General features: G+C 44.1%; 1 protein-coding gene and 2 long non-coding RNA genes across 5 annotated transcripts in view, besides 6 other annotated features; 2 read left to right on the top strand and 1 right to left on the bottom strand.

The window, feature by feature from the left end:
* Window positions 635–824: an enhancer, noted in NCBI's record as "active region_8972". NCBI's record gives its function as "activates an Ori minimal core promoter by ATAC-STARR-seq in GM12878 lymphoblastoid cells {active_cell/tissue: GM12878}" and the evidence as "EXISTENCE:reporter gene assay evidence [ECO:0000049][PMID:35858748]".
* On the top strand, window positions 1,269–4,541 carry LOC124903373 (uncharacterized). Its single transcript, XR_007064320.1, has 3 exons — window positions 1,269–1,672; window positions 2,996–3,129; window positions 4,452–4,541. It is a non-coding gene; the product is annotated as an uncharacterized LOC124903373 (long non-coding RNA).
* Window positions 4,542–11,004: 6,463 nt separating this feature from the next.
* On the bottom strand, window positions 11,005–15,183 carry TCL1A (TCL1 family AKT coactivator A). Of its 3 annotated transcripts, NR_049726.2 has the most exons (5): window positions 15,005–15,183; window positions 13,609–13,832; window positions 13,278–13,454; window positions 12,807–12,860; window positions 11,005–11,939 (listed from the first exon to the last, which is right to left on the bottom strand). NR_049726.2 is itself a non-coding variant. In NM_001098725.2 (4 exons), exons 1-3 carry the CDS (start codon window positions 15,122–15,124, stop codon window positions 12,813–12,815), a joined length of 345 nt encoding a protein of 114 aa, NP_001092195.1. In that variant the 5' UTR covers window positions 15,125–15,183; the 3' UTR covers window positions 11,005–11,939; window position 12,812. The 3 variants fall into 3 exon arrangements, 2 of the variants coding, with proteins under 2 accessions (NP_001092195.1, NP_068801.1); NM_001098725.2 differs by lacking the exon at window positions 13,609–13,832 and having other exon boundaries at window positions 12,812–12,860; NM_021966.3 differs by lacking the exon at window positions 13,609–13,832.
* Window positions 13,244–13,343: an enhancer, noted in NCBI's record as "active region_8973". NCBI's record gives its function as "activates an Ori minimal core promoter by ATAC-STARR-seq in GM12878 lymphoblastoid cells {active_cell/tissue: GM12878}" and the evidence as "EXISTENCE:reporter gene assay evidence [ECO:0000049][PMID:35858748]".
* Window positions 13,384–13,543: an enhancer, noted in NCBI's record as "active region_8974". NCBI's record gives its function as "activates an Ori minimal core promoter by ATAC-STARR-seq in GM12878 lymphoblastoid cells {active_cell/tissue: GM12878}" and the evidence as "EXISTENCE:reporter gene assay evidence [ECO:0000049][PMID:35858748]".
* Window positions 13,584–13,803: an enhancer, noted in NCBI's record as "active region_8975". NCBI's record gives its function as "activates an Ori minimal core promoter by ATAC-STARR-seq in GM12878 lymphoblastoid cells {active_cell/tissue: GM12878}" and the evidence as "EXISTENCE:reporter gene assay evidence [ECO:0000049][PMID:35858748]".
* Window positions 14,918–14,967: an enhancer, noted in NCBI's record as "active region_8976". NCBI's record gives its function as "activates an Ori minimal core promoter by ATAC-STARR-seq in GM12878 lymphoblastoid cells {active_cell/tissue: GM12878}" and the evidence as "EXISTENCE:reporter gene assay evidence [ECO:0000049][PMID:35858748]".
* Window positions 15,198–15,437: a silencer, noted in NCBI's record as "silent region_6050". NCBI's record gives its function as "represses an Ori minimal core promoter by ATAC-STARR-seq in GM12878 lymphoblastoid cells {active_cell/tissue: GM12878}" and the evidence as "EXISTENCE:reporter gene assay evidence [ECO:0000049][PMID:35858748]".
* The window catches only part of LOC107984703 (uncharacterized), a 41,297-nt gene continuing 39,492 nt past the window's right edge, over window positions 16,541–18,345 (top strand). Inside the window, exon 1 of the long non-coding RNA NR_148060.1 lies at window positions 16,541–16,765. This is a non-coding gene — a long non-coding RNA (uncharacterized LOC107984703). The remainder of the gene's footprint in view (window positions 16,766–18,345) is intronic.

An 18,345-nucleotide genomic window follows, 5' to 3' on the forward strand; every position in this document is an offset into this window, starting at 1 on the left:
GATTATACCACTGCACCCCAGCCTGGAGACAGAGCAAGACTCCATCTCAAAAATAAAAAAGGAAAAAAAAAAAAAAAAAGAAAAACCTAAACCCAGAATACACACAAAAAAAGCAATACATATGACAGTGTTAAAAAATAAAACATTTCTGCCTAGCAGAAACAACAACAACAAAATAAAGTACAAAACAACTTAACCATGGTGAAAACACAGATCAGTATGTAGAGAAACACTGACAAAGGACTTCTTTCCTGAATGTCTAAAGATTCTTCATGGCTGTTTCCACACTTCATTCATCCCTCACCAGCTTAGATTCTGTGTTCCAAAAACTCCTTCACACACATGGGAGACTGTCTGCCCCACTCTTGTGTATCACTTGCCAGGTGAAATGCCACATTTGGTGGAACCCACTTTGCCTTATTTTCTAAACCTGAGAGAAAAATATTGATAGACAAAATACTCATAAAAACAGGCTGACAATTTCCACTTTGAATTCCTGCCTGCAAACCTCAAAAGGCCAGATCTGCTCAGCAATTCTATCAAGTTTCTCTGGTAAGTTGGTTTCCCCTGGATCGAAGATGGCTGTGTCAGTCTATCTGTTCTCATATGTGCGATGTCCTTGCCTTATACGTGGCTGAAAAAGAGACCTAATATGGGGAATTCCCAGAGGGGCCTTGCCTGAAGGGCCCACACAAAGCTCTTCCTGCCTTCCTGATCACTCTGCTCGGTTTCTTTCCATCATGGGACTTCCTTCTGTGCTAGAATGCATACCCCCCTGAACCTAGCTCAGGGCCAAAGATTGAGCTGAATAAACAAATACCAGAAGGGAGAAACAGGGCAGATTCTGGCAACATCCGAACCACACCACTTAAACTAACTTGGGGCAAGTAACTTCTAGTCTCAGAGCCTGTTTCTTCACCAAGAACTTGGGGGTAACAAGAGTACTTACTTCTTCGTAAGGCCTAAAGGAGATAATCTGTGTTAATCACACATCACACTAGCTGGTCCACTGGAATCACTTTTTGGACCAACTGCCTTTCTCTCTCTCTCTTTTTTTAGCTTTCCTTCTTTATTAAATTCCCTTAAGCATTACTCATAATTCAAGTTTAAGACAGAACAAATCTCACAAAGGATTTATGGCTAGTTCTCTTCTTCTTATAAATGAACCCATAAAAAAGCATCCCCTAATTCCTCTCTAGTTTTTCTAACCTCCTTGCTTTTCTAAAATTGAAAAAAAAAATTCTGGTGTACTAAAACCAGAACCAAGTTTCCTCAACGTCTTCAGTTAAACTACCTTTAATTCCTCAATCAAGGCATACCACACAATGTTATCTACACTTTGCAGTAAAGGACTCTGAGTGGCTGGTGTTTTTTGCTTAGTGTAACCATTACACAACAGTATGTACTTGTCACCCCTGGCCTCCTAAAAAAAATCCAGAATTTATTATCTTGACCTTAGGTGCCAAATGAGGCTGGCAAGGCTTTCTCCTGGGGTAAGATCGTAGGTGGTTAGGAGTAAATAAAACCCCAGCTTTGTGACTCTGTATGACATCACACACTTTCAGCCTAGCATTGCCAACTACTAGGCACATTACCCTGAGCTTCTTGTAACAAAGGTAGTGATGTTCATTTTAAAAATATCAAGAAACAGATTAATAAAATTCAGAATATGGTATGTACAAATCCATCTTTACGAAAGGGTTTTCTAGAATTTCAGGAGAAAAAATGCATAATATACACATTTTATTCTTTTCCTTATATATACAAAGACCTTTGTTATAAGTAATTACAAAGCTAACGATACAGTTTTACTTCAGGTTTAGTTTTTCCTGCTGTGACATTAGCATTTGACTACATTCATTCTGAGAGAGCCTGAAGCAAAGGTAGGTGGGGGTGCTTGTCACCCTGTTGAACAGTTGCCCAAGAAAGTAGAGATGTTGAAAAAAGGCAGTTGTAACTTGGAGCAAAAATCGACCTAATTATTTGTGATTATATGCCATATTTTTTAAGGTGAGCGTCTCAAGCCAATTGTTTGATTTTTTAAAAATCGAGCAAATTGTGTTATTCTTGCAACATTCTTGATCTCTTCAGTTGCAGACCAGTAGTAATTCCTTCTCTCCCGCTTAAATTATATGATAAAGATGAAAGGACAGACGCTGACATTTAGTTTGTCTCTCAGTGCTTTCTGTGATCTTTTTTCAAAGTAAAATAATCTTAGGAAAGGTTTTAATTTTTTCCTCCTAAGAACACAATGATGCTTTTCACTGAATGTGGACAATATCATAAAGGAGGAATGTTGAAATTTATGGAATCCACTATATGGCAGATACTTTCCATCTGTTACTTGCTTTAAAACTAAAATCCAGGCCGGGCGCGGTGGCTCACGTCTGTAATCCCAGCACTGTGGGAGGCCGAGGTGGGCGGATCACGAGGTCAGGAGATCGAGACCATCCTGGCTAACACGGTGAAACCCCATCTCTACTAAAAATAACAAAAAAATTAGCCGGGCGTGGTGGTGGGCGCGCCTGTAGTCCCAGCTACTCGGGAGGCTGAGGCAGGAGAATGGCGTGAACCCGGGAGGCGGAGCTTGCAGTGAGCCGATATCGCGCCACTGCACTCCAGCCTGGGCGACAGGGGAGACTCCGTCTCAAAAACAAAAACAAAAACAACCCAAAAGCCAACACCATCACAACCCAATGGTGGTTCATTTTGCCTGCTGCCCTGAAAAAATGCAACAGTAGCAGGTGTTGCAGGGCCAGTTGAGTGAGAAGAGGGAGAAATTTCTCGAACCCATCTCCCTTTTTGGCCTCTGACCTTTTAGTTGAAACAAAATTAGTTACCTATAGACTTAAGTGAACGCTATACTGCACGTAGGCACATAACCCCAACCTATATAAGCACTAAGAAAATTGCAACACTTTGAGTTGGTCTGGTGGAATTATCTCCAGCCTTCTCCCTGTATCCGGTTATAGCAATAAATTCCCTTCTTTCCTAGATTATCTGCTTCTCATTATTGGGCTATGCGAAAACACAGCCGACCTGGCCCAGTTCCAGGAACAACATTGACATGGTGTTAAATCCAGAGAAGATAGCCCCAAGTTAGAGAACAAAGTTGCTCTGCATAATAAAGTAAGAATGTTGGTGTTTCAAGGATTACCTCTGTAAAGGGAGGAGGAGGGTGCGGTCTGTGAGGCAGAGAGGACTTGAGAAAAGATGCAGGTGGTGGGGCTTTACTGGGGTGGTGGTAATGCTGTAACAATGCTTAAGGGTCTTTTTCAAAACAAAGTTTCTAATATCCCACTTTAAGCTGTAGTCTGAATGTTAACCCCCACCCCTCCCTAAACCCCCAAACTTAACCCCCAAACTTAACCCCCAATGTATCCCCAAAGGCTGACATCGGCAGCCCTGTGGAGAAAGAATCAGAGTAGTGTTCACTGTAGGGTAGGGTGATGTGCGTGGAACAAGAATAGGATCAGCCATAAACCAAACGGAATCAGTGGATGTTAGAGCTCAAAGTAAGGGGTGATGGGGAGAAACGTAAGACCCCATTGAAATCCTTGGAGAGATTGTGAAAGGTGATGTGGGAGGGAGAGTCAAGCTAAATTAAGTCGAAAAAGATGGAGTGCCCCATCCGACATATAGATATAGGGAGCACAGGGCATTTCACAATGAACCAGATGGGATTATAAAACTATGGTCAGTCTATTATTCTTATACAAGATAGGCTAAATATGTGTGAGTCTCTCTTAAAATGAAGCTTTACTGTGGTTACACATGACCTCCAAGTTGTGGGGATGAGTAGAAATGAGACACTGTGTTACTTAACTCACTACAGTCCAGCCAGTAAGATGATAAAGTGGCTATGGTTCTTGCTGTCCTTGCTTAGTGAGCTGATAGGGCCAGTGTTGAGGAGAGGCACCACCAGGTCAGAACAGCCCTGGCCATGTTCAGCCTTTGGGGGCCTTCTAAGTCCAGGGGCCCAAGTAATTGGCATCTTAACCAGTGAACCTGCTGTGTAAGTAAGTCCCGTACTACTGCACCAGGTACCAACATTGAATTTATAAGTTTTAGTATTGAGTAGTACAAAGAGCTCTCCCATATTATTAAAATGTGTTTAGTAGTTTCAAGAGCTATAGAATTTTCGCCTCAAACTATAAATGATCATTATAGTTAAGTATTTGTGAGAGAATTTTCTTGCAAAATTTCTCACTTAAATTTGTAAGTTGTATTTGCTGTAGGAGGTTCACTGACAATAAATTCATTGAACTAGCTCAAGTTAACTCACTTGATATACAAAAAGGTTAGAATCTTTGAGAACTGGTGTATTTCCGCAGGCATTTCCTCACTGTGAATAAAGTTGTTTTGTAAGCAAAATACAGTGACAGTAACAAAGTAACTTTAAAACACAATAAGATTCAGGGCAAGATGCTGACAGTGGCATTGTTTTTCAGTTTCCCAATTCTCCTCACAAAGTCCAGAAGAGCAACCAGGAGAGCAAAAGAAAAACTGAGTATAGAAAAGTAGGAAAAAAAAATCAGAATAAAAAGATGGAGAGAATTGAAGAGAAAGTGATGGATATAACAGGCAACGAAGATGCAACATATCCATAACAGAAGTCTTACCCCCAGACCCCCTCAAAGAGGAAAGTAAGGCAGTGGGTAGAAACTACTAAAGAAAACATTGCTGAAGACAAAAAAGATGACTTGAACCTGTGTACCTGAAGGGAACATGATGTGCCTAGAACATATAAACAAAAACAGTCGACTCCAAGACATAGCCTTAAAATTATTGTACGTTATAGAACAGAAATCTGTTTGGCATAAGATAAAATGACCAAGTAACTTACATGGGATTAGATCTTCACAGAAGACTTTTAAGTTAAAAACACAGTGGAGTAAATGGAGTAACGTAGTACAAATACCCAAGAAAAGAAATGTAACACCCTCCCCACTTCGGGATTTTTAAATTCAGCCAAATGACCTTCAAGTAGAAAGACCATAGACAAACCTCAATGAAGAGGAAGGAAGGAATCAGGAAATGATGTTCCTGTGAGCACTCCCTGAGTAATCCACTAAGCTATGAGCTTCACACAATCAAGAAATGTTTAGGAAGCTTTTCATTAGGACTAGTGGTGAGAAATGAATATGTTTAACTGAAGAACTAAGACTAAATAAAGGGCACGAGTGTGAGAAATCCTATGTGTTTGTTACATTCTCTGATAATAAAGGTATATTTCAGTTATCAAAAATGGGATAAAAGGGAGAGAATATACCAAAAGCAAGCTTGATGGCTGCCTTGGAGGTATCACTTAGCACTTAAAGAATATTACTTTAGATGCTTTGGAGAGAGAGAGGGGTGGGGGAAGGAAATGTTAGTGGTTTCAATTCTGCTCACAGTAGGGAATCAAAAGACGTGCACCACCCAACAGGTTGGCCACCAGTCACATGTGGCTGTTTAAATTTAATTAATATTGAATAAAATTTTAAATTAAGTTTCTCAATTATACTAGCCATATTTCAAGTGCTCCATAGTCACAGAAGCTAGTGGCTACCACATTGGGCGACACAGATTCAGAACATGTCCAGTATTATAGAAAGTTCTTTGGACAGTGCTACAGTAGATAGTATTTTTAAAGGAAAGGCTGGTCAGGTACAGTTGTTCATGCCTGTAACTCTGGCACTTTGAGAGGCTGAAGTGGGAGGATTGCTTGAGCCCAGGAGTTCAAGACCAGTCTGGACAATATAGTGAGACCTCATCTCTACAAAAAATTTAAAAAATTAGCCAGGCATGGTGGCACTCATCTGTAGTCCCAGCTACTCAGGAGGCAGAGGTGGGAGGTTCGCTTGAGCCTGGGAAGTAGAGGTTGTAGTGAGCTGAGATCGCACCACTGCACTCCAGCCTGGGCGACAGTGTGAGACGCGGTCTCCAAAGAAAAAAAAAGTAAAAGAAAAGAAAGAAAAAAAGAAGGGCTGAGGAAACTACCCTAAGATATTAGTCTAAAGGTATGAAATGAAAATGCAACATGAAGAGAATACTAAAAAAGAATGTAGAAAACAGTCCCCATAGAGAAAAATTGTATATGTATATAAAAACAAACATAAAACAATACTAAGACCAGTACATCAGATACATCAATAACTGAAATGAGCTTAATTCACTAATTCAAAAAAATGCATCAAAATCCAACCTTTTTATACACATGCACACATATACGAATGAACATGCCTAAAACAAAGAGATTCAGAAAGATTTAAATAAGATGCTACGCACAAATATGCCAGACAAATGCAAATTAGTAGAAACAAATAGACACAGTTCATGATCTTCATATCTGACAAGGTAGAAATCTAGCCAGAAATCACTCAAAGAAAGGATAGTTCATTGAGCCAAAGGCTACACAAGATATAACAATCAACATTTATGTGGCCGGTAACACAGCAACAACTTTATGAAGCATAAACTACCAGAGATTAAAGGAGAAGATGGAAATATACTAATAGGAGACATTAGTGTATTTTTTTCAGGATGAGATAGAACAAATGAACAACAATAATGATGGGGAACACAGAAAACCTAAGCCATATTAATAATAAAGCAGAGATTTATATCTCTGAACTTAGTTGAGAGAAATGCCTCCTTTTCAAATGTACAGGGAACAATCATGAAAACTGAGGACATCCGTGTGCATTTGATATATAGGCATAATTTACACAGCCCAATATGTTTATTTATTTTAATTTTATTATTTTTATTTATTAATTTAATTTTATTTAATTTTACTTATTTTTCATTTATCTTTTATTTATTTATTTATTTATTTATTTAGACAGGGTCTCACTCTGTTGCCCGGGCTGGAGTGTAGTGGTGTGCTCTTGGCTCACTGCAACTTTGCCTCCTGGGCTCAAGCGATTCTCCCACCTCCGCCTCCTGAGTAGCTGGGATTAGAGGTGTGTGCCACCATGACTGGCTAATTTTTGTATTTTAGTAGAGATGGGGTTTCACCACGTTGGCCAGGCTGGTCTCAAGCTCCTGACTTCAAATGAGCCGCCTGCCTCGGCCTCCCAAAGTGCTGGGATTACAAGCATGAGCCACTGCTCCCGGCCTTTTTATCTATCTATCTATCTGTCTGTCTGTCTATCTATCTGTCTGTCTGTCTGTCTGTCTGTCTGTCTGTCTATCTATCTATCTATCTATCTACCTTAGAGATGAGTTCTCAACATCTTGCCCAGGCTTTGACAGGCAGAGGTGGGGGGATCACTTGAGTGCAAGAGTTCAAAAGTAGCCTGAGTAACATGGTGAAACCCTATTTCTAATAATGATATTTTTAAATTAAAAAATAAAATAAAATTTCTAGTATTAAAAAGTTATATATGATACCAAAATCAGACAAAGACATCACAAGAGAAAACTACAGACCAATACTTCTTATGAATACAGATATAAAAACCCTTAACAAAATACTAGCAAACCAAATCCAACAGCATATAAAAAAGATTATACACTAGGACCCAGTAAAATTCATCCCAGAAATGCAAAATGGTTCAACATACCAAAAAAAAAATGAGTGTATTACACCATATCAATACAATAAAGGACAAAAACCAACATTCCAATAGATGATCATCTCAACAGATGCAGAAAAAACATTTGAAAAAATCTAACATCCCTGCATGAAAAAAACACACTCAATAAACTGAGACTAGAAGGGAACTTCCTCAATCTGATAAAGGACATTTATGAAAAAGCCATACCTAATATCAGACTTAATGGTGAAAGATGAAGATTTCTAAGATCAGGACCAAGGCAAGGATGTCCACTCTCACTCTTTCTTTCTTTCTTTTTTTTTGAGATGGAGCCTTGCTCTGTTGCCCAGGCTGGAGTGCAGTGGTACAATCTTGGCTCACTGCAACCTCCGCCTCCCGGGTTCAAGCGATTCTCCGGCCTCAGCCTCCCAAGTAGCTGGGATTATAGGCACCCGCCACCACGCCCAGCTAATTTTTGTGTTTTTAGTAGAGATGGGGGTTTCACCAAGTTGGCCAGGCTGGTCTCAAACTCCTGACCTCAGATGATCCACCCATCTCAGCCTCCCAAAGTGCTGGGATTACAGGCATGAGCCACCGTGCCCGGCCCACTCTCACTATTTCTATTCAACACAGTTCTAGAGGTTCTAGCCAGGGTAATTAGGCAAGAAGACAAAAGAAAAATCATCCAGATTGGAACAGAATAAGTAAAATAAATATCACATCATACTTGTGAGGATGGCCATTATCAAAAAACCAGAAAACAACAAATGCTGGTGAGGCTGTGGCAAACCCTTGTGCACAGTTGGTAGGAATGTAAAATGTTGTAACTGTTATGGAAAACAGTATGGATGCTCTTCAAAAAATTAAAAACAGAACTACCATATGGCTCAGCAATCCAACTGGCAGGTATTCACCTAAAAGAATTAGGAAACAGAATCTTGAACTGATATTTGCGTGCCCATATTCATGGCAGCACCATCCATAATAGCGAAGAGGTGGAAACCACCTTCTATCCACCGGTGGATGAATGAATGAGGAAATGGTGGTGCATACATACAATGAAACTTCATGCAGCCTTAGAAAAGAAGGAAGTCCTGCCATATGGTTGAGCCTGGAGGACATCACGCTAGGTGAAATAAATCAGTCACAGAAGGACAAATACTGCATGATTCCTACTTAGATGAGGAAGCTAAAGTTGTAAAAGTCATAGAAGTGGAAAGAAGGGTAGCAGTTTCCAGGAGCTGGGAAAGAGGAGGCGATGAAGAGTTGCTCTTTAAAGGGCACAGGGTTTTAGTGATGCAGGATGAAAAAGTTCTAGAGATCTACTGTACAACAATGTTCATATAATTAATAATACTGTACTGCACACTTAAAAGTCTGTTATGAGGGCAGATTTCATGTTAGTTTTTTTGTTTGCTTTTTTTTGTTCAGAAAGGGTCTTGCTTTGTCACCCAGGCTGGAGTGCAGTGGCAGGAACACGGCTCACTGCATCCTTGACTTCCCAGGCTCAAGCGATCCTCCTGCCTCAGCCCCACAAGTAGCTGACACTACAGGTATATACCACCACGCCAGGCTAATTAGATTTTTTTTATCATAATAAAAAAAGAGTAAACTTAGGAATCAATTTAACAAAAGAAATGCAAAACCTATACTCGGAAAACTGCAACATGTTATTGAAAGAAATTAAAGAAAATATAAATATATATGTAATAAAATATGTAGAGGGAGGCTGGGCACGGTGGCTCACGCCTGTAATCCCAGCACTTTGTGAGGCCAAGGCGGGCAGATCACCTGAGGTCAGGAGTTCAAGACCAGCCTGACCAACATGGTGAAACCCTGTCTCTACTAAAAATACAAAAAATTAGCCGGGCATGGTAGTGGATGCCTGTAGTCCCAGCTACTTGGGAGGCGGAGGCAAGAGAATCGCTTGAACCTGGGAGGTGGAGGTTGCAGTGAGCTAAGACCGCCATTGCACTCCAGCCTGGGCAACAACAGTGAAACTCCACCTCAAAAAAAAAAAAAAAAAAAAAAAAAAAAATATATATATATATATATATATATATATATGGAGGGAAAAATATGAGGTATTTAGAATACATTGGCAAAACAACTTTGTGTTTCCAGCCAAAACCCTAGAGTCAGTCTTGTGGAAAACTGAGATTCTGCATTGCATTTAGTTAATTTATTAGGGCTATTTATTCTTACAAAACAGCATTTCTTTTTGTAAGAAGTAATCCTTTTGCTATGTTTTTAATTTCCACAGCAAATTAAATCTGCACAGCACTTGCCATCCCCTCTTCCTAAGAATCTAGCTCCCTCTTTTTCAAGGCCCAATCTTAAATGCCATATCCACAGACAGGAATTTCCTTGCCAGCCAATCGAACTCCCTACCATTACCCTATTCTATTTTCTTCTGGGATTTTGCACCTTCTTTTTATCTTTTTCCAGAACTAAGGCTGCATGAGAATGGGGCCTTCACCTTGTCCCTGCTGAGTCCCAGTTCCTGGCACCGTTCATGGTGATGGTCAAATATTTGGTCAACAAAAGAATCTCGCACAAAAGCTTTCCTCTTTCTGGGTCCCCGCGTTCCTATTCGTAAAATGAGGCAGCTGCCTGATCTCCCATGGTCCCCCTGCTCTGACTTTCCACGATCCAGCCCTGCTGAGAGGCACCTGTACAGTAATTGCTCCCACAGACCAAACTCCCCTGCTGCCATGGTCTGTGCAGGGTGACCGGGTTACAACAGAAGATACAAACCCTGGCACGTCGGACGTCAGTGCTTCTTCTCTGTCTAGTGCTGGTTAAGAAACCTGGGTTCAGAGACTGTAAAGCGGGAGAAGTAGTGTTTTTCTTATACAATTCTCTTAAAGCCCTTCAGTTATATATCCCGCTGAATCCTCAGAACAACCCTCTAAGTTCATCTCTGTGACAAGAAAGCTGTGGACTAGAGACACAGGGAAGTGGGAAGGCCAGGATTCGACACAGGATGGATTCCCTTCTCTGGAAGGCATCCCCTGGTAATATCTGAGGTCCAGCTACTGTCTATAGAGGTACAGGAGGGGCAGCAGGGTCTTGAGAAGGGAGCAAGAGGACAGGGCACAGGGTGGGATCTGCTGTGACTGCAGGTCATGGGAGGTGGGGAAGGGAGTCTGCTTGGGGCCTGAGTGGTCAGGGACAGCTTCAGGCAGGAGGGGCTTCTGCTGGGATTGTGAGCAGAGAGGATAGAAGTTATCTGTGCAAGGACAGAGCCTGGTGAATGCCCAGGTAAGGAGGAGGCAGAGCTGGCTGGGGCCGAGGGCACATGGGAATGAGGAGGGTAAGGAGGGCAGGACCAGATGGAGGCAGGGGGGGCTCTGGAATACCGGGCATTGCCAACAACATTTTTGAGGTTGCTTACTCCAATGGTTCTCAACGTATGCCTCCAAGAACACTGGGGTTTTAAGCATTGGATTACACGGGGAAAAAATTGTAGTCCCTTATCTCCAAAGGAAAATAAATAAATCCATGAATATTTTTTATTTGGGGGCTGCCTATTCTCACTTCTCTCCACCAGAATCTAAGTCAAGGATAGAAGCTGATTCCGCACGAAGTTAGATAAACTATCTTGCATTTAATCAATCATTACAAAAAGTATTCATGCCACATACAACTTTGTAACACCCAGGTGCGTGACCATCTATAAAAGGGGGGAAACCCAACCTCTATCCCTTTTCCACGTGGGCAAGCCAAGGGTTCTGAGGGCTCATCCACAGGGCTCGCCGGCCTGGCCTCCTGCTGCGTCCCGGGATGTGGACCACTGACCCAGAGGCTTCTGAGTCCTGAGCACAGATAAGGGCTCCTTTCAGGCCTTTCCTTGAGCTGCACGTGAACCTGTGTGGGCAGGCAGCGTTTGCAGGCGTGTTTACGGGCAGGCAGCGTTTGCAGGCGTGTTTACCGGCAGGCAGCGTTTGCAGGCGTGTTTACATGCAGGCGTAGCACCATGTGAGACCACTGGTCCAGGGTTTCAGAGGTCCTGCTCAGGTGAATCGGCTGTGTTCTCACAAGTTCACGGAGCTGAGTGGGTGTGCAACATGAAATACTAGTGCTGTGAGGGACAGAAGGGACAGAAAGAGGCTGAAGACCATCATCCAGCTGAGAAAAGCCGAGGCACAGGTATAGCTGGGCACCTGGAAGAAGCTCTGCCAAATGGAATCCTCCTTGGCAGGAGTGGTAGTGCTAAGGCGAGCAGAGTGGGCTACAGGCAGGTCCTGCAGGCCCTGGGTAGAGCTCATCCTCTGTCTGTCCATTCCTCCCAGACCCCAGCGTGGTGGAGAAGACACAGGCATAGTAAACGAAGGTGAACAGAAACACAACATCCCCATTGTAGGCTGGCCAGGCTCAGGCCCTGGGGTGAAAGGAGACAGGTGCTGCCAAGACCTGGAGAAGGACAAAAGAAGACAGAATCAAGGGTGAAGGAAAGGACCAGGCAGTGGCGAGGGGTGGTGCTGCTGGAGCAGGTCTAAGTGGGAAGCCTAGTGGTCAGGGATGGCCCCCAGAGGCCTTCTGAGCCAAGGCAAATTCTGACACCTGGGTCTGTAATCTGAAGATGTCACTATACTTCAACTCATTTCTGAGTTTTGTACTCTTATTTCCTCAAAACTCAATAGCGTATCTAATATCTGGCTCAGCTGATATAATCAAGCACCAGTGCTTATTTAATAAAGCAATGGTAAGGCCGGACGTGGTGGCTCATGCCTGTAATCCCAGCACTTTGGGAGGCCGAGGCGGGCAGATCATGAGGTCAGGAGATCGAGACCATCCTGGCTAACACGGTGAAACCCCGTCTCTACTAAAAAAAAAAAAAAAAAAAAAAAATTAGCCAGGTGTGGTGGCGGGCGCCTGTAGTCCCAGCTACTCCGAGGGCTGAGGCAGGAGAATGGTGTGAACCCGGGAGGCAGAGCTTGCAGTGAGCTGAGATTGCACCACTACACTCTAGCCTGGGCCACAGAGCCAGACTCATCTCAAAAAAAAAAAAAAGCAATGGTAAATGAAAGTGCCAGCTGAAACTTGTGAAGTACTTTATAGATATGAGCAGCTGCGATAAAGGGGGCTGCCTACAAAGCCCTTGGCTCCCGAAGTGGTAAGGGAGACATGAGTGCCTCCAGGAAGCCTCTCCCATCCCTAGGGACCCTCAGATGGCAGCAGTCGGGGAGGGGTTAGCACTGCCTTCATGGAGAAGGGGTGGTCTTTCTTTCTGATACAGCCACTGTGGACTAAGAGGGGTCAGGCTCCAGTGGAGCTCACCATACATCAGTCATCTGGCAGCAGCTCGAGAAGCATGTCCTCCACGCCGTCAATCTGAGAGGCAGAGAGAGAGAGAAGGCATTGATCGGCCAGAGCCCTCCACTCCCTCCATTCCTCACTCCTGCGCCTTCCCCTAGCTGGAAACAGCAGGTAGGAACCCAGGTGTGAGGATTTCAGGGGCTCTTGGAGACTGCCCCTCCTCCCACCAGCCTTCAGCCTGTGACTGCCCACCAGAGATGTCTTCCTGCGGCTAGCTGGTGGCTGGGAGGAAGTGGAGGTAGGGTTCTGTTAGAGACCTCAGAGGATCTATCTTCTCTCTGGTAAAGTCCTTTAGAAATCTGCACTTGTACATTTCCCCCATTTTTTAATGCTTTTGGGACTGGGATGGAGGGAAGATAAACCACTAAGGCCAGACATGGAGGAGGGCAAACCCAAGATCACCCGATGGACCTCTGGGAGAAAGACACTCACCTTGATGTGGTACACTAAGCGCCAGAAACTGGAGTCTGAGGATCGGTATCGTCCATCAGGGTAGAGCTGCCACATGATAGGCAGCAGGCTTGGGCCTATCTGGGTGGGGGTCATAGGCCTCCCCAGGACGACGTCTTCCCGACGCAAGAGCACCCGTAACTGTAACCTATCCTTTATCTGAGGAGAAGAAAAGGACAGGGCATACTTTCAGGTTCCGCTTGCCAGGGCTTCTCCAGGCGCAGAAAACCGGAATCCCTCCTGCCAGCCATCCACCCATCTGGGCAGGGGTCCGAGTGTGAAATGATGGTCATCACTGTTCCCTGAAGCTCACTTCCTTAGGCCATGCATGCTCCTCTCAGGGACTCTGGCTGGGCCAGGACCACCAGCACACACACGTGTCTAGCCACCCAGACAGGGCCATGAAAGGCACACTTTTTTCTGGCGGGTTGCAGCGGCTCACACTTGTAATTCCAGTGCTTTGGAAGGCAGAGGCAGGAGGATCGCTTGAGGCCAGGAGTTTAAGACCAGCCTGGGTCACAGAGCGAGACCCTGTATCTACAGGAAAAAAAAAAAACAACAAAGAAAGAAAGAGAGAAAAAGAATACTGGCCTTTTCAATGATGTGAGGCAAAATCTGTCCCACAGTTTGCTAGTGGGTTATTTTTTGTGGAGCATGTATCATGATTTTATGAAAAACTGTCTGGTTCGTGGTTTTGGTGTCACGTTGAAGAAGAGATTTCTCAGAGATTTAAAAAAAGAAATCCACTGAATCTTCAAATTATTTCTTCAAATTTTGATTTTAAAAAAGTAAGTATTTAACTTGATTTTTAAAGTAAAAACATATTTAAAAAATTGAAATGCCAATAAAAATGCAGATTTTGTGGTGGTTAAGAGCCTAGAATTCCAACCCCATTACCTACTAGCAATCTTACCTCGGACAAATGTACATTTTTGTGCCTCAGTTTCCCATCTGTAGAGACACAGTCAACACTCAATAATTTTTGATTGCTACTGGACATACGTGTTCTAATATATTTTTTAATTTTTATGCTTTCTTCAGTGTATGTTTGGAGAGAGTTTGAACATTTTTTGACTCTTTTTCATTGAGTAAATCCAAATACTTGTAAAAGACTTATCTATTTCTTTAACAAAAACTTAACATGGATTAAGGACCCATCTTAAGGCATCACACATTAAAAAAGTCAATATTGATTCAATACCGGCGCTTATACTACGACATCACTTGTTAAATTTGTTTTCTAAATAAAGCCCAGAGGTAGTGGAAAATACTTCACACTCTAGGCCAGTGTTTGCTATGCCTGGTTGACCCTAAACTGTTGAGGGTTCTTTTTAAAAATACAGATTTCTGGGACCCACCTGAGATGATTCCGATAATCGGCCATATGGATGAGTCACTTAGAGATACCCATTTTTAAGGATTAGGACCCCGAAGCCCAGAAAATGCCTGCTGTAGTCAACATTATAGTCACACTCCACAGGCACTGGGTCCACCCCTTTGACCGACATTCCTTTGCGGTTTTCCCACCCTTCTTCCCTGCCTGGAGAACTCCTATTCATCCTCCAGAGCCCGGCTCAAAGTGGCTTCATCTGTGGGGATCCTCCCTGCCCCATAGTGAGTGCTCCTTGAGTCCTCGCCCTTCCTAGGGCATCCCAAGCTCCCAGGGGCTGCCCCTGCTGCCTCGCCATCCGCTCCAAAGCTGGCTGTACCTCGATGGTTAAGGGCAGCCAGGCGTGCTGCTTCTCGTCCAAATACACGAACTTCTCCCAGGCCCACAGGCGGTCCGGGTGGTCGGTGACTGCCTCCCCGAGTGTCGGGCACTCGGCCATGGCGTCCTCGGGCCGCCTAAGAAGCAAGAGCCAGAGCCTCTCAAGGCCGCTCGCTGGTCCCTGGGATGTGGGGCCGACCCTTTATATCCGGGCAGCATGCGGCCGCCACCAAGCGGCGGGGCGGGAGGACGGCCTTGGGGCGGGACCCCGGGTCGGGAGAACGACCTTGGGGCGGGGCGTAAGGCAGGATGGGGCGGGGTTTGTGGGGGTCTTGGTGGCAAGTGAGGGTCCCGCGCAGGCGCTACGTCCCGGCCTGACTTGCTCCCTGGAACGGTGGCAGCTCCTGGGAACGCAGACCCGGCCCCAGCTGGCCCGCGCCTTCCTCGAGGCCCCGGCCAGCAGCGACACCGACCGCCGCCCTCTGCTGCTGCTGGAGAGGCACCGGGGTGACCTTGGCCCTTTCTTCTTCTGGAAGACCCCCCCGCTTCCCTCGGCTGCCGGACCGGGACTCTGGGCCTCTGCTGGGAACTCACAGTCGACACCAGGATGCCCAGAGCCAGGACCCACTCCTCATCTTATGGGATCAGAAGAGACCCGCGCGGGCCTGAGTTAGGCCTGGGCTTTCCCGGGTTCCCTGGATCTCCACCAGCCTGTGCCTTTGAGTGTCAGAGTACGTTTTTTGGCAAAGGACAACTCCTGACGCTCCCTCTCCCTCTTCCATACACAAAGCATGCGTTTTCCACAGGTCTGATGTGCTGTGGACATCTAATAGCTATTACAAAATGGAGAATCATGGGTTTTTGCCCTTGGGCTTTGAGTTTACTAGTGAAAGCATAGTTCGAAATGAATACTTAAAAAGAAATCCCTCCTTCCACCCTAAGATCAATGGATTTGAAAAGTGCCTGGTTTATATGATCAAAACCACCCCTCTGTAAATTACAAGCAATAAGGAAAACAATTTCACTTTATTTTGCAGTAACGCATTCCCACTAAGGCAATTAAGAAAGTCATGCACAATGAAAAACATGTGAAACCAGCTCCAGCCTGGTTCAAACATCACCATGGGATGGAGTTTGGTGTCTCATCTTCCAGCTCTTTCCCAGTTCTCTGACCAGGCACTAAGAACATAATTTGTGATCCTTTGAAATATCACCAAAGTGGAAATTAAGAGATCTGATGAGGACATCTGATTCACCTGGCAGCTGGGTATCTGCCTCTTTGCCTATCCAGAGAGCCTAATTCCCAAGAAGGGGCTGAGAGGGCCTAAGGTAGTCGAGACATAATGGGATTTACCAGGAACACAACATAGAAGAGAAAAGCCAAGGGAAGTTGGGGGTGGAGTGAGGGCCCTTGAGCTCAGCAAACCTCTTTTCCACTGTAGCCCTTAGTGGTGTTAATATTTAATATGCAAACTTAAAGGTTTCATGCTGATTTTCCTGTGAATGGCTCTTGACTCCAGACCTAGATAGCCACAGAGCAAGATGACAAGCTCGCTAATAAGCTCTGTTGGGGAGGTCTCAGCCCAGGCCAGAGCTGTGAAGTGAGAAATAAGTCCAGTTTAAATAGTGCTGCTGGGATGGACTTTTGTGGCCAGGGAAGGGGTACCCAGGAGCCAGTGTGGCCACTGACCCAGCCTCATCAATGGCCCTAGGATCCAGAATGCCACAAACAATGGAGCAAGAATCAGATCTGTGTGTCTGGGTAAGCAGAATGTTCTGAGAATATAATTCCTTTTTCCTTCTTTTGTAAGAACAATTTATTTCTTCAGTTTTGCATGAGGGCTTCTTAATATTGAGCAAGAATATACATCATTATTGCGTGAGATTTAGAAAATTATTTGAGAGAGGGTTCCAATAAATGAAAATGAATTAAGGATGTCTGTGGAGTTCATTGGGCAACTTATAGAGCCCTTGAGCTTTTTTAAGTGAACATTCCACAAGAGGGGAAACAGTAGCTATTGCATAGTCTCAGAGCTGTCTCTGAGCCTCCGTGGCATGTTATCTGCCCCATCTAAGGGTTATAAAGGCCATAAGCCTAGCTTTAGAATTTTATGTTCCTTTCCAAGTCTTTGTTAGTCTGATTTCCCTGAGGATAAGCAAATGGATGTTTCACACAGAAAGCTACAGGAAGCAATCATTTTGACAGAATCCTTAATGGATGCGTTCATGTCCTGATTTAGATCTAGTTTTGCCTTTACCACGATCACCTGTGAACTTGACAAATCCTTTGCAACTTGGCCTCAGTGCCATAGTTTTGTAATGAATGGGGCAAAATACCTGCTCTCTAAGCTTGTTTCTAACTCAGTAGGCCCCAATCCTCCTATAACATTGCCTAGTGGGAGGAGGGAATAGTTAAGAAAAGAGATGGACAAAATATATGATGTTAGTTCAGGAATGCCTACAGTTTTTGGTACAGTGGCTGTAGATCAAGGACCCCAGTGGAATTCATGGGAGCCATTCTTCTTGTTTGGGTTCCAAAGAAGGGGTTGAGGAGTAGTCAAGGCCATCAGGATGACCTTGACTCAAAGTGTTGTCCCTGGACCAGCTACAGTAGCATCACCTGGAGCTCGTAAGAATGACAGAATCTGGAGCCTCCCCCAAGACTACTGAGTCAGAATCTGTATTGGAACAAGACCCCCAGGTGATTCACGGGCATGGTAAATGTTGGGCTATATGGAGGGAGGGTCAAGAGGGAGAGATAGGGGGTGTCTGATTCAACACACCAGTGCCCTCCAGATTTCTCCAACTATGACACAGGACTTATATCGGTGTTTGTGTATCATTTACTTCCAGGCTATCTTATTTTCTGCCAAAATCACCTCTAATATATAGAGTGTTTTCCTCTTAAAAGAAAATCCTAGTAACCAAGGTCATCCTCACCAACCCTGGGGTCCTTGATTGTCAATGATTATAGCAAGCTGGAAAGAGCCTATTTAGAGGCTACTTAGGTGTTTAGGCCTTTGGGCCCTATGATGACTGAGCCTAAACCACTAAGAATCACCTGGGAAGCTTTAATGAAACACCTGCGCCTGGATCCCACTCCAAACCAATTACATCAGAATCTCCGAGATTGAGGCTTGAGAAAAGTAGGTGATGCTAACACGTAGGCAGGGTTAAGTACAATTTCTCTAAGATCTGAGTGACTGTTTTTGACGTGTGCACAGATTTATAAATCTAAATAACTACGAAAATGTCAAAGCTATTCTTTCTACCATCAATTCTCATTGTAAACTTCACCCCAACTCCATATTTTACTTCTTTCCCTTTGCCCTACTTTGCTGC

This window comes from Homo sapiens, chromosome 14 (assembly GCF_000001405.40).
Source record: "Homo sapiens chromosome 14, GRCh38.p14 Primary Assembly".
NCBI lineage: Eukaryota > Metazoa > Chordata > Mammalia > Primates > Hominidae > Homo > Homo sapiens.

Bases quoted from the DNA above. Each gene is read 5' to 3' on its own strand.
- TCL1A (NM_001098725.2), bottom strand. From the start codon at position 15,124: ATGGCCGAGTGCCCGACACTCGGGGAGGCAGTCACCGACCACCCGGAC. The intron at 13,455-15,004 runs GTACAGCCAGCT...TCTTCTCCTCAG, and splicing joins GGCTGCCCTTAACCATCGAG to ATAAAGGATAGGTTACAGTT. The intron at 12,861-13,277 runs GTGAGTGTCTTT...TCTGCCTCTCAG, and splicing joins GCTTAGTGTACCACATCAAG to ATTGACGGCGTGGAGGACAT.